Source organism: Homo sapiens, chromosome 12 (assembly GCF_000001405.40).
Source record: "Homo sapiens chromosome 12, GRCh38.p14 Primary Assembly".
Lineage (NCBI taxonomy): Eukaryota > Metazoa > Chordata > Mammalia > Primates > Hominidae > Homo > Homo sapiens.
In genome coordinates, this window is record NC_000012.12 from 123,971,482 (window position 1) to 123,983,778 (window position 12,297).

The 12,297-nt window shown below is 45.7% G+C and overlaps 3 protein-coding genes across 16 annotated transcripts in view, besides 7 other annotated features; 2 read left to right on the top strand and 1 right to left on the bottom strand.

Moving 5' to 3' along the window:
* Positions 1–1,350, bottom strand: part of CCDC92 (coiled-coil domain containing 92) — a 37,206-nt gene extending 35,856 nt beyond the window's left edge. For 9 of the 12 annotated variants that reach the window (NM_001304961.2, NM_001304957.2, NM_025140.3 and 6 more), the window contains exon 1: positions 1,048–1,350. The gene's annotated coding sequence lies outside the window, so the exon portion shown is untranslated. Of the gene's footprint in view, positions 1–258 lie in introns of all 12 variants that reach the window. The other 3 variants (NM_001304959.2, NM_001304960.2, XM_024449199.2) reach the window with 2 other exon arrangements.
* Positions 97–834: an enhancer, noted in NCBI's record as "OCT4-NANOG-H3K27ac-H3K4me1 hESC enhancer chr12:124456125-124456862 (GRCh37/hg19 assembly coordinates)". NCBI's record gives its function as "activates a minimal SCP1, AML or CMV promoter by ChIP-STARR-seq in naive and primed H9 embryonic stem cells {active_cell/tissue: H9 hESC(naive and primed)}" and the evidence as "EXISTENCE:reporter gene assay evidence [ECO:0000049][PMID:30033119]".
* Positions 793–912: a silencer, noted in NCBI's record as "silent region_5051". NCBI's record gives its function as "represses an Ori minimal core promoter by ATAC-STARR-seq in GM12878 lymphoblastoid cells {active_cell/tissue: GM12878}" and the evidence as "EXISTENCE:reporter gene assay evidence [ECO:0000049][PMID:35858748]".
* Positions 793–1,812: a biological region, named in NCBI's record as "H3K27ac-H3K4me1 hESC enhancer GRCh37_chr12:124456863-124457600".
* Positions 835–1,572: an enhancer, noted in NCBI's record as "H3K27ac-H3K4me1 hESC enhancer chr12:124456863-124457600 (GRCh37/hg19 assembly coordinates)". NCBI's record gives its function as "activates a minimal SCP1, AML or CMV promoter by ChIP-STARR-seq in naive H9 embryonic stem cells {active_cell/tissue: H9 hESC(naive)}" and the evidence as "EXISTENCE:reporter gene assay evidence [ECO:0000049][PMID:30033119]".
* Positions 943–1,812: a silencer, noted in NCBI's record as "silent region_5052". NCBI's record gives its function as "represses an Ori minimal core promoter by ATAC-STARR-seq in GM12878 lymphoblastoid cells {active_cell/tissue: GM12878}" and the evidence as "EXISTENCE:reporter gene assay evidence [ECO:0000049][PMID:35858748]".
* ZNF664-RFLNA (ZNF664-RFLNA readthrough) overlaps positions 1,734–12,297 on the top strand; it is a 342,810-nt gene continuing 332,246 nt past the window's right edge. Inside the window, exons 1-2 of one of the 2 annotated variants that reach the window (NM_001204299.3) lie at positions 1,734–1,871; positions 2,405–2,539. The gene's annotated coding sequence lies outside the window, so the exon portion shown is untranslated. The remainder of the gene's footprint in view (positions 1,872–2,404; positions 2,540–12,297) is intronic. The other variant, NM_001347902.2, reaches the window with a different exon arrangement.
* Positions 1,734–12,297, top strand: part of ZNF664 (zinc finger protein 664) — a 42,213-nt gene continuing 31,649 nt past the window's right edge. The window contains exons 1-2 of one of the 2 annotated variants that reach the window (NM_152437.3): positions 1,734–1,871; positions 2,405–2,539. The gene's annotated coding sequence lies outside the window, so the exon portion shown is untranslated. The remainder of the gene's footprint in view (positions 1,872–2,404; positions 2,540–12,297) is intronic. The other variant, NM_001204298.2, reaches the window with a different exon arrangement.
* Positions 1,883–1,962: a silencer, noted in NCBI's record as "silent region_5053". NCBI's record gives its function as "represses an Ori minimal core promoter by ATAC-STARR-seq in GM12878 lymphoblastoid cells {active_cell/tissue: GM12878}" and the evidence as "EXISTENCE:reporter gene assay evidence [ECO:0000049][PMID:35858748]".
* Positions 2,073–2,302: a silencer, noted in NCBI's record as "silent region_5054". NCBI's record gives its function as "represses an Ori minimal core promoter by ATAC-STARR-seq in GM12878 lymphoblastoid cells {active_cell/tissue: GM12878}" and the evidence as "EXISTENCE:reporter gene assay evidence [ECO:0000049][PMID:35858748]".

Below are 12,297 nucleotides of genomic sequence, written 5' to 3' on the forward strand. Positions count from 1 at the left end.
CGTAAAAGTTTTAAAATGGCAATCCTAGTTTTAATACTCTTACAGGTTTCTGGAACTGCGTAATATGTTAAAGTATTACAGCGTGGTAGCTTGCATTTTGTTATAAAACCGACTACTGCAACCTAAGCTACAGAGCGCGGTTATATTTTCTCTCTGGCAGCCTAATTTTCCTTAGTGGACTAGATCGTACTGCTAAATACCAAAACTTGAAATGAAACAATACAGGTCAGCATGAAAACCTAAGTTAGAGAAACTCACTCGCCGTAGCAGACGGCAGCCCAGTAGCCAAGCCTGGAGCTCTGCTGCGTTTGTGCATTCTGCTCCGTTTCACGAATCACAGGCAAATCGTTACTCAGAGTAAACTAAAGCCGCATCAAAGCTTCAGGAAGGGGCTGGCAAGGTAGTGTACTTACGGAAAGGCTACCAGGACGGGAGGCGATACAACTTGTCAGGGAGGGTCTCTAAGGTTCCCCGGGTGGTAACAAGCATTTAAAAAGGCGATGTGGATTCAGACGGCCTCCTCCCCACAGCATCCCAGACAAAGCCGGGCTAGGCCCCGGGGCGCTCCTGGTGCACCTGCAATGCGGATCCCTCGCCCTGCGATCCCACCCCGGGGCAGACAGGAGCGCCCCGGGACCGGCCTCTCCTCCCCCTTGGCACTGGGGTGGGCGCGCGCCGCGGCCGGTCCGCACCCTGGACTGGAGCCCGGGCCGGGGAGCCCCCTCCCCAGAAAGGGCCGGCAGACCCCGCGGGGGCGGGCGCGGGGGTCGCCGAGCCTCAGGGACCCTCTTTCCCCGACTCCGCCGTCTCCCGAGTTGCCTTCGCCCGGGGCCACCCCTGCCCCTGGGGGAGCTAACGTGGCTCCCAAGCCCCGGAGGTGGGGCAGGAGGACCCCGTCCCCCGTCTCCCGGCGGGGAGGGTTTTTAAAGTCTTCGCCACGAACTCCCGTCCCTGCCCGGCCCCTCCGCCCCTGCCCGGCCCCTCCGCCCCCGCCGGCGCTGCCAGGTGAGCGGGGCCGGACTCGACACACCCCGGGCCCCGCCTCACCTGCGGGCGCCGCCGTCGCGTTCCTTCAGGCGGCTGCCCTCTTAGGCTCGGTCCTCCCGGCGGGCGGCGGTGGGGGCCCGTGGCCCATGGGCTGGGCGGGGCGCGGCGGGCGGGGCTGCCTGGGCTCGGGCGCTGCCCGGGCCGGGCCGCCGAGGGAGGTCAGTGGGCACCGCCCGCCCGGCGCATCTCGCCCGCTCCCACCCCAGCGCTAGCCGCGGTGCACCCTGGGAGCGGGGCCGGCGGCGAGGCCTGGCCGCGCTGACCCGGCGGGCTAGGCGCCGGCGCGGCGGCGGGCCTGTGTCTGCCGGGCTGGGCGGGGGCGGCGGGCCGATATTCACTTGGCGAGGCGGGGCTACGCCCCCTTCCGCCCGGCTGTGGCGGGGCAGGGGCGAAGGCCGAGGGGAAGGGAGGGTCGGGCCCGCGGGACGCAGGCGCACAGCTCAGGTGCGGCCGCACTGCGGTTGCCCTGGGTAACGCGGCCCGAGGGAGGGGGGGGCGCGGGGAGGAGCGAGGGAGGCGAGCGGGAGCGCGCGCGCCGGGCGCTGGGGTGGGGGATGGCCGGGCCCGACCGGGCCGGGGCTGGGGGGCGGGGGCGGAGGCGGGCGGTGGGGGCGCGGGCCGGGTGGCCGCGCATGCGTGCGGCCCCCGCTCCCCCGGGGCTTCCCCGGCCTCGTGCGTGCGCACGCGCGCTGTCCCCCGGAGGCGTCTGGGTGTGCGGAGCGCGCGCGCGCGCGGCTCGGAGGCGCACCTGTGAGGTGTCCCTGAGGAGAGGGAGGTGGGTGCGCGGCGCCCGCGGCCTGGGGCGCTGACTCCCCTCACTTGGAGTGAGTTCTCGGCGGCCGGGCTGCAGTCTTTCTTTCTTTCCCGGAGGGAGGCGGGGGCCGGGGGCCAGGGAGCGGGCTGGGGGTGGGAAGGAGGTGGAGTGGCTTAAAGAAAAGAAAAACAACCCATCCCGGAGGATGGGCCTCGGGATGGCGGGGAAGGTCAGAGCGGCTCCGCGCAGCCTGGCGGGTCCCGGGCTGAGAAGCCGCCCCTCGGGCCTCGGGCGGTCGGCCGCGGGCCCGCAGTGCGGGGGAGCGGGGCCGGGGGGCGCAGATGGCGGCCGGTGCGAGCGAGGGCTGGGCAGCGGGCAGGGCGAGGCCGGGCGAGGCCCCTCGGGAGCCGGACTCCCGAGCCAGGCTCCATTGTTGTTGGAGCCGAGGGAAGGGGGAGCGCTGCCGCCCTCGTCGCCCGTGGAGCCGCGTCTTGGAGCCCTTCCAGGCGGGTCCCGGGAGAGGCGGTCATGGCCGCGCCAGGGGACCGGGGAGCCGGGCGGCTGCGGAGGAGCCGGCTGCATGGGGTGCTGTGTGTTTTTCAGGGCGCCCTGCGTCCGGCAGAGGAGGCGAGCATCCCGCTCAGGTGATGAGGAACCCCTCGCGCACCCAGCGCAGAAGGCTGCTGCCGCCGGACGCCTCCATTGTTTGACCACAACAAGGGCCGGATTCTCACCCAGGTAAACCGGCTGCCGGCGCTGTCCACTTCCCTCTGACTCCCGCCTCCGCAGGCGTTCTCACCCCTTCCAGGACTCGACTGCAGTTTTCTCACTGTCCCCGGCTTCTCATGAACTCCGTATACCCCCTCCCAGACATTTTCCCGTCCGGATCCATCTCTCCGCCACATCACCTCTCATTTCCCCCAGAACTCAGCTCCTTTGTGAAACCTTTCTTGCCGAACTCTAACAACTAAATCTCCCCGGGAGCCTGCTCCGAACTGAACTGTTCTGGTTGCTAGATTGCTTACGGGCTGTCTTATTGCAACAAAGGAGACCAGATACCGAAAAAAGATTTCTGAGCTATTGCCTTCTTCAAGGAACGTTTTCTGATATTTACAGTTTATTGTTTTCACAGGCTGGAACGGTTTTTAGGCATTTTGGCTTCTTATTTAGAGAGGGCTCCTATTTCCTTCATAGACGCATAGTTTTTTAGAGCAGGAAATTGACCTTGTTCAACCCGCAGGTTAATTAAAAATTTAAAAATTAATTCTAAATTAGCAGAGTAGTACATTTTCTTTGTAAAAACAGCATATCACAGAGATGGCATTTTGTCTTTGACTATCAACCTCTGTCTTCAGGGATGCCGACTATTATGTGTGTGGTGTTTATCCTTCTAGATCTTTTGGAGTACTTTTACGTGTGTGCACTTAACATCATTTTTGACTGCTTTAACAAGGACTGTTGCACCGTAACTTTCAATGTTAGCATGTAATGCTTCAAGTCATTTTTTAACAACTGCTGCACCATGTTCCATAGTTTCAGTATATCATGGTTTAGCCATTTCCCAAATTGATAGCAGTTTAAGTTTTAACTTTAAAACAGCTTTTTTGCTGGTGGTGGTTCTCTGATGAGATGAAATTTCGGTGATAGGAGCACAGATCTACGCTAATTATCGAGATTCGGCATTTATGATGAAGTTCTCTTTTGGTTAAGAAATTGATATGTGGAAGCAGCCACCCCTCCCCTATGGTAGTTCTGACTCTAGCAGTTAGAAGTTGTGTGACCTTGGGGAGGACATTGAATCACACCAAACCTCGGTTTTCTTTTCTGTAAATGGCCTGCTCTGTCTGCTCCATAGAGTTCAGTGATACAGTGCGTATGTGTTGTGGAATGTAAAGTAGTATATATAAAGGTTGGTTTTATTAGCCTTTGTGATCCAAAAATTATTTGCAATATCATTTATATTTTTTGACCAGATGTGTGTGTATCATATCACAGAGCACTACAGATAGTCAACTTTGAATGCTTTTTAATTTGTGACTTTTTAAATTAATTTTTATCAAGTACTGACAATACATTAGTCTTCTTAACAATATTTTGCAAAGCATTTTTTCCTAGGGCTTTCTTTTCTTCCTCTTCATTAAAAAAAAAAAAAAAGAGAGAGAGATAGGGTCTCTTTCTGTTGCCGTGGCTGGAGTGTAGTGGCATGATTCTAGTTCACTGCAGCCTGGGACTCCTGGGCTCAAGTGATCCTTGTGCCTCAGCCTCCCCAGTAGTTAGGAATGACTACAACCATGTGCCACCACACCTGGCTGATTTATTTTATTTTTGTAATGACAGGCTCTTACTATCTTGCCCCAACTGGTCTCAAACTCCTGGCCTAAAGCAGTCCTCCCAAAGTGTTGGGATTACAGGTGTGAGCCACTGTGCCCAGCCCCTAGTGGTTTTACATACCTTAAAAAATAAGGCATATAAATTAGTTGACTGTGAATAAACATATTAGCAAACTGAACACTAGACAATACTCGCACTATAATATTTAAGCTTATTTCCTTAGAGTTGTAAGTTGTACATGTATTTTTCTGTGGCAGCAGCAGATTCAGATTAGCTTTTATGTCCTTCAGGGAAAAGGGATTGTTACTAAATTTGCAGGCTGCATCAGAGTTTTAATATTGAGATTTAATATTTTAATCATTTGAATAATGATTGAATGATGTGATGGGTAACATTTTAAGATGTATGAGATACGATTAGGGGCTTTTTATGTATTTTTCTTTCTTTCAGATATATATGAGTGCCTGTAGTGTGGCCAGCAAAATCAACTTATTTTGTTCTCTTGAAGCTTATGATTTGTGAGGGGGATTGGAATTTAAACACAATCACAACTACACGTATGATCACAAACTGGTATCTGCTGTGAAAGTTAAGAAGCACCTGCTATGAGGGAGTATAAAAAAGGGGAGACCAAATTTTAGAGTGGAGAGAAGGGGCCTAGGAAAGACTTTTCTGTATAAATAAGATTTAAGCTGAGATTTGAAGAGTGCGTAGGTGTTAGTGTGGAGGAAAGTGGGGGATAATTTTCCAGGCAGAGGAACAGCATGTGGGAAGGCCTCAAAGTGGGGAAAAAGCTTTGCCCATTCCAGGAACTGAAAGAATGAATGTGGATAGACTATGGAGGTGAAGGGGAAGAGTGGCTAGGCCAGGGGCCAGATCAAGTAGGGTCATGTAGGGCAGGTTAAAGTGGTTGTATTTTATCCCGAGTGAAATGGGAAACCATGATATGGGTTGGGATTTACGAAGAGGAGTGACATAATCAGATTTGTATCTTTAAACAGCCACTCTAGTCGTTGCATGCAAGATGTGGGGGCGTGTTGGGGGTGGAGAGTAGAAGTGGGGAGACCAGGTTGGCCATCTCAGAGGGCTGCCTGGAAGAGACGTGAGCTTTCCCTTGGAATTCACATTGACCTCACGTTACCAGCTACACTAAGGTCAAATCAATGTTTGATTAAAAAAAAAAAAGATCCTGGCCATGCACAGTGGCTCACACCTGTAATCCCAGCACTTTGGGAGGCAGGTGGATCATGAGGTCAGGAGACCGAGACCATCCTGGCTAACACGGTGAAACCCTGTCTCTACTAAAAATACAAAAAATTAGCTGGGCGTGGTGGCAGGCACCCGTATTCCCAGCTACTCGGGAGGCTGAGGCAGGAGAATGGCGTGAACCCGGGAGGTGGAGCTTGCAGTGAGCGGAGATCATGCCACTGCACTCCAGCCTGGGCAACAGAGGGAGACTGTCTCACAAAACAAACAAAACCCCCACAAATCCTTGTTTCTAATTTTTAAGAAGTGGGGATAAATAAAAGCAATAAAAAGGTACTTGGTATGCAAAAAGTACACATAAATGTTAAACTAGTTGTCTATACTTAAAAGTATCAGAGAGTCAAATTAAAAATTGGGACATTATTTAACAAGGTTTGTATGTTTTGACAAAGCGGTAATATGTGAGATAGGAGTGAAGTGAGGCTCTAAAATGAAGGGAAATATTTGTAGATGCTATTGACTATGAAAACAATAACAAAAATTATTAGACAAAAAAATTGATGGAGTGACCATGTATTAGTATATGTATAAAATTAATAGCTTTCTGAATACCAGAAATAACCTACTAGAACCTAAAATGGCCAAAAAAAAAAAAAAAAAACCCTAAACAAGAAACTGGCTCTGACCAGGTTGCAGCAAAACAAGTGAACCGTGTAGGCACAACCTTATAGAGTCAAGTGTGCACTCTGTGGAGGAGACCATAAAGTATCCTGAAAGGTCTGAAGGGGTACCTTGAACGGAAAGAGAGGCCATCTTCCGGGCTGTGATGTCTGCATGTTATGGAGATGCTCATTTTGGGGTGAACGTGGTAGAATACTTATGAGTAATGAGGTGAGACAAATATATTTAAACATATTATAGAGCCACATTCATTAAAACAGTATCGTTCTGGCTGTAAAATATCCATACAGGTCAATGGAACTTATTCAGCACCCCAGAAATAAACTTTTTTATATGGAAATGTCATAAATAATAATGAAATCATCACAAATGCCCCCTGAGTCTAAAGAAAATGTAAGTAAATATTAAACATCTGGAAAGAGGAGTTTTACATGCTAAGGTGGATGGAGCACATGCTTTAGACTCAGATGTGTCTAAACTGGAATCTTTTAAGTGAGGAAAATTATCCCCACTTTGCAGGTGTTATGAGAGTAAGAGATAAAGGGCCAGGCACCTACAGGGCACTCAAATCTGTAAGTAGCTGCTGCTATTAGAAACAATAGAGAAAATAATAATTAAAAATTAGTGTATTAGACTACATAAAAATTTATTCTTTAGGAAGAGAAGGGAAAAAAAAAACCCGAATCATAAAGTGGAAAATATTTGTGGCAAATGATAAGCTAAGAGTTAGTATTTTCAATATGCAAAGAACTCATCCAAATTGGTGAAGAAAATAATGAAGATCCACACACAGGTGGTTATAGGATGTGAATAGACAGTTCGCTGGATAGAAATATAACTTGTGAAACATTGGAAAAGCTGTGTAATTCATTAATAATCAAATCACTAATTACCGTATAGAAAAGTTAGATTCTGTTCTGAATAGCAGCAAAACTAGAAAACATTTACAAGTAAGACATAAATGTACCAAAGCTTTATGAAGAGAAGTAAAAACTTTTACCTAAATGATTTAAAAGCTAACCTAAATAAATGGGCAGACTTGTTCCTGGAGGGGAAGGCATCATTGTAGATTGCAGTACCTCCAAATTAAACTATGATTTCAATGTAATTACAATTGAAATCCCAGTGGGAATTCTTCTGGACACTAGATAAATTGCTTCTAAAACTCTTTTATAGGAGTAAATGTCCTAGAATGGCCAAAAAATGACAAACGTTTTTAATGGAAAAGTAGTGTTGGGGGATTTGCTATATGAGAAGTCAAAGCATACTGAAATGCTGCAGTAATATAAATGGTGAACACAAGAATAGACAGATTGACGCCTGGAGCAAAGTAGAATCCAGTAACAGACCCATTTTTATATCAGAATTTAGTATATGATAAAGTTGGTGTTTTGCAACAGTTGGGAAATTATAATTCAGTGTGTTGTATAGGGATAAGTGGCTCTTTATTTAGAAAGAAAGATCCTACTTCACATTCAAAATAACTTAGATGGATTAAGGAACTAACTAAAAAAACCTATAAAAGCATTAGAAGGAAATATAAGAGAATTTGTTATGTAGAAGGATACACTGGAAATGATGTGTTTTAGGTAGGCCATTTAGGTAAGACCAAGACCTAAAATCATAAATGAAAGGATTGATAAATTTGACTATAATCACAGTTGATAATTCTGTGACAAAAAGCGTTACAGAGTGACAGACTGGGAAAACAACCTGTAGCATGTATAAAGAATAAATAGAATTAACAAATTAGGTAATGAATTGAGGATATGAATAGTTCTTAGATAAATGTGTTCAAACAGTGAAGAGAAATTCAACCTCATTGTGATTAAGAGAATGGAAATTTAAAAACTAGATTTTTTTGTTGGGAGGAGGGCATCAGGCAAAAATTAAAAACTATCCAGCGATGTAAAAGAGGCACCTAATACATTGTTGGGACATAAAATTTTTCCAAGTTTTTAGATGGCAATTTTGGCAGAATTTTATCAAAATAAAAGTACACGTTGATTTAGCAGCTACACTTCAAGGAATCTGTGCTATTTTCATAGGAGAACATACGTTAATATAAACAATGTCTATTGCAGCGTCATTTATAATGAAAAATTGAAGATAATCACAATAAATTTTGGTACCCATATACTGTGGAATATCAAGTAGCGTTTTGTTTTTTGTGGGATTTTTTGTTTGTTTTGTTTTGAGACAGGGTCTTGCTCTGTTGCCTAGGCTGGAGTGCAGTGGTACGGAATGTGGTTCAGTGTAGCCTCAGCCTCCTGGGCTCAAGTGATCTGCCTCAGCCTCTCAAGTAGCTGGGACCACACACACACACACACACCACTACACCTGGCTGATTTTTAAATTTTTTTTGTAGAGACGGAGTCTCACCACGTTACCCAGGCCAGTCTTGAACTCCTGGCCTCAAGTGATCCTCCCGCCTTGGCCTCCCAAAGTGTTGGGATTACAGGCATGAGCCACCATGTCTAGCCTATTAGTTTTTTATATAGAGAGGTAGATTTGTATGTACTGACATAGCCTGTATGGATGTCTAGAATATACTGTTGAGCCAAAAAAGCAAGCTTAATCTCATTTTTTGTAAGATACAAAACAAAATAATGAAGGGTGAGTGTGTGTATATATATATATTCTGAATAAGAATTAGAAAAAGACTAGAATACCTGAAAACATTTAATTCTGATTACTTCATGGGAAAAGCCTAGGGGAGACTGGTTTTTCATATCACATGTGTTTGCATTGCTTCAGTTTTTTTTACAATGGGCATTTACTTTTGTAAGGAAGATGTTACAATTTCTCACCAATTTCATGAAGGTCTAGATTTAGACAAAAATATACAGTGCCTAGTACCTAAAAGGATGTGGTAAAAATGACACACTCTTATGTTACATTGGCCATATGTGTCAAGAGTCTTAAAATTATTTACATTTCTTGATGGTCTAGGAACCATCAAAAGAATATTTTTAAATACAGAGAAAAGCTTTCTGCACAAAATATGTATATTGTAGAATTATATTTATGGGCACAGTTTGCAGAATGGTTATGATACATCCCCTATATCATATATTTAGTGGCAAATAACATTGCCATTAAAAACGTTTATGAAGAAAATATATTAAAATGCTTATGATAGTGTTAAGTGGAAGGAAATCAGGATACACAATTGTATACCTGATATGATGAAAACGCCCCAAAAAAAGTCCCAGCAGCCTTCCAGTAAAACCTATGAATGGCAAAAATATGTAGAAGAAATTAGATGGAAATCTTAAGAATTGTGGAATTCGGTAGGATGTCGGGTGATTTAAATAATCTTTTTTGTATTTGCCAAGATTACATGTACCTGTATTACATGTATGATGGAACATTTGATTTAACAAAGTATATCTGGGACATGATAGCTACATGGCAAATAGACATGAGCACTTTTTTTTTTGGTTAAAGCCAATGAATAAATTTGGAATTTACACTGAAAATGATTGGGACCCATTGAAAACTTGTGAGTAGGGTAAGAACAATCCATTTTGCATTTTAGAAGGTTACATTAGAGTAGATAATGGATTAGAGGGAAGCAAGACTGGAGGCTTTTGTAGAATTCCAGGGAAGATGATGGTGGCTTGAGTTAAGTTGAGACAATGCAGGTACACAGTGGAGAGTTTCCAGAGGTATTTGGAAGAGAGTGGCTAGACCTTTGTGATGGGGGGAAGTCAATGATATTGACTTGGGCAATTGAGGGGAGAGTGGACTCATTTACTATAGTTGGGAATTGGCTATGGTTTGAATATTTGTCCCCTCCAAAACTCATGTTGAAACTTAATCCCCAATGTGACAGTGTTGAGAGGTGGGGCCTTTCAGAGGTTTGGCTCATGAGGGCAGAGCCATTCATAGATTAATGGGTTGTCATGGGAGGGGACCTGGGGGCTTTATAAAAAGAAAAGAGATCTGAGACAGCATGTTAACATGCTCAGCCCCCTCTCATCGTGTGATGCCCTGTGCCGGCTCAGGGCTCTTTGGAGAGTCCCCACCAGCAGGAGAGCTGTCACCAGATGTGGTCCTGGGCTTTTTCAGCCTCCATAACTGTAAGAGATAAATTTCTTCATAAATTATCCAGTTTCAGGTATTCTCTTGTAAGCAATAGAAAACAGATTAAGACAGGAATATAGTAGGCTTTGGTGAGGAAGTGACTGATTCAGTTTTGGATGTACTTGAGTTTGAAGGTCTTATAGGACACATAGGTGTGTCACGAAGAGGATTTACAAAGAATAATTTTACAGTACACATGTTTTGCTGTAAGAATGACTAGATACTATACATAGCTATGGTATTAAAATCAATATTTCTACATGGTAAATTTTTCTTGCAATATAGTTGTACTTCTGTAAATTGGGGCATATCTGTCTAGATAGACTGGACCATTGATATTTTTCACATAGAATTATTTGAGACTGCATGACCTCGACTTCAGATAATACCATGATTGTCTTTGGGGTTCATTGGGTAGACTCTTGCCTCTCTGAGTGGGTGGTGGAGGTTCCTCTGGGCATTAGTGGTCCTTTTGTCAGTCATCCTGTTGTCAGAGTACACCTGACTTCTGGGAGTGATTTCTCTTCATCTTGGTAAACTGGTCCCTTCCACGTAGGGGCAGGCCAGGAAATAGGCAGAGTGGTGCCCTTTCATCCATGTGTGAGTGCCCACCTGGCTGTTAATAGTATGGCTGGAGCATGGGTACCTTGAAGGACAAGTGGAGAAAAGGTAGCGGAGAAAGTGCCTGCCAAGGTAACAGAAGTCATTAGAGAGGAAGGTAGATGTCTTCATCAGAGGTTGGGGCCCAGTCGCTGGGAAGTTGGTGGCAGTCAGTGTGGCTGTGCTCTTTGCCTTCATCTCCCAGGCTTCTCCTGCTCACTGTGTGTCTGCCCTATGCTTCTATGTGTGCCTGCCCTCCCCCTAATCTCTTCTCTCGCTTGGCAGTAAATAACACGTGACCCCAGGTGGTCACTCTGGAAGGCCATTCTGAAACTCTAACTTCTGCCAGCTCACATCACAGACCCAGTCTTTCCACTTCCCACTTCCCAATTCCAAATTCTCTAGAAGGACAATCTGATTGGCTTAGCTTGGGTTCCACGCTCACCGTATCGGTTTTACTGTTGCAGCGCTTACAGGAGCAGATTCATTTAGTGTGAGCCTGGTGGACTGGCTAGAAGGGAGTGCAGACGAGGACACTCAGGAGAGACGTCCTGGAAGTTAGAAAGTTTCAAGAATGGACAGGAGCAGTAGTTTCAAACGGCCTAGAGATGTAATAAAGGGATCAGGAGTGAATCTTAGATTTAGCAAATTGAAGTCTTTCAGCCCAGGTTGAAAGTTGTGTCTACTGGGCATGGTGGCTCATGCCTGTAATCCCAGCACTTTGAGGGGCCAAGGCAGGCAGATGGCTTGAGGCTGGGAGTTTGAGACCAGCCTGGGCAACATGGCAAAACCCCGTCTCTACCAAAAATACAAAAATTAGCCAGGCATGGTGGCACACACCTGTGGTTCCAGCTACTTAAGAGGCTGAGGTGGGAGCATCACTGGAAGGCAGGGCTGTAGTGAGCCATGATCACGCCACTGTACTCCAGCCTGGGTGACAGAGCGAGACCCTGTCTCAAAAAAATAAAAAAAGAAAGCAAGCAAGTTGTGCTACAGCTAATCCATGTGGGAGAGTCACAAGGTGGAACCAATGGCTATGATTACTCATTTGTAAGACACTGAAAGAAGAGAATTTTTAAAATACAATTTAATTTTGAAGATGTAGCAGAAGCATTCAAAATGTAATTTTAAAAATATAATTCGTATTGCTTTTTAACGCTAAAACATTTCTACACCTTTATTCTGATTCTGAAATACACAGTGTCTCTTGTGTCACTTGATACATTATAAGAAATTCAGTAAAGCTATTCTAGAACTCATTTATTTTTCATACCCCTGAAAGTTCATAAAATAATCATAGGTTATTTCCATATCTTATTTTGCAGTGTGTTCTATGATATTGTGACAGAGCTTGTGAGGAAGCCTTTATAGCCAGAGCAGACCCCTGTCCCAAAGATGATGAACTCTGCCACTTAGGTTAACAATACAACAGTTCATAGAAATAATTGGAACCATTTTTCTTCTGCAGAGTAAATCCTGTATGTCCCTCTGGCTTTCAAAATATCACTTTTGGATGTGTAGTTCAAATATGTTTAGGATTGAGCCTGATGGGGGTTTAAGAATATTTCATTGATTCAAAGTACTCGGTG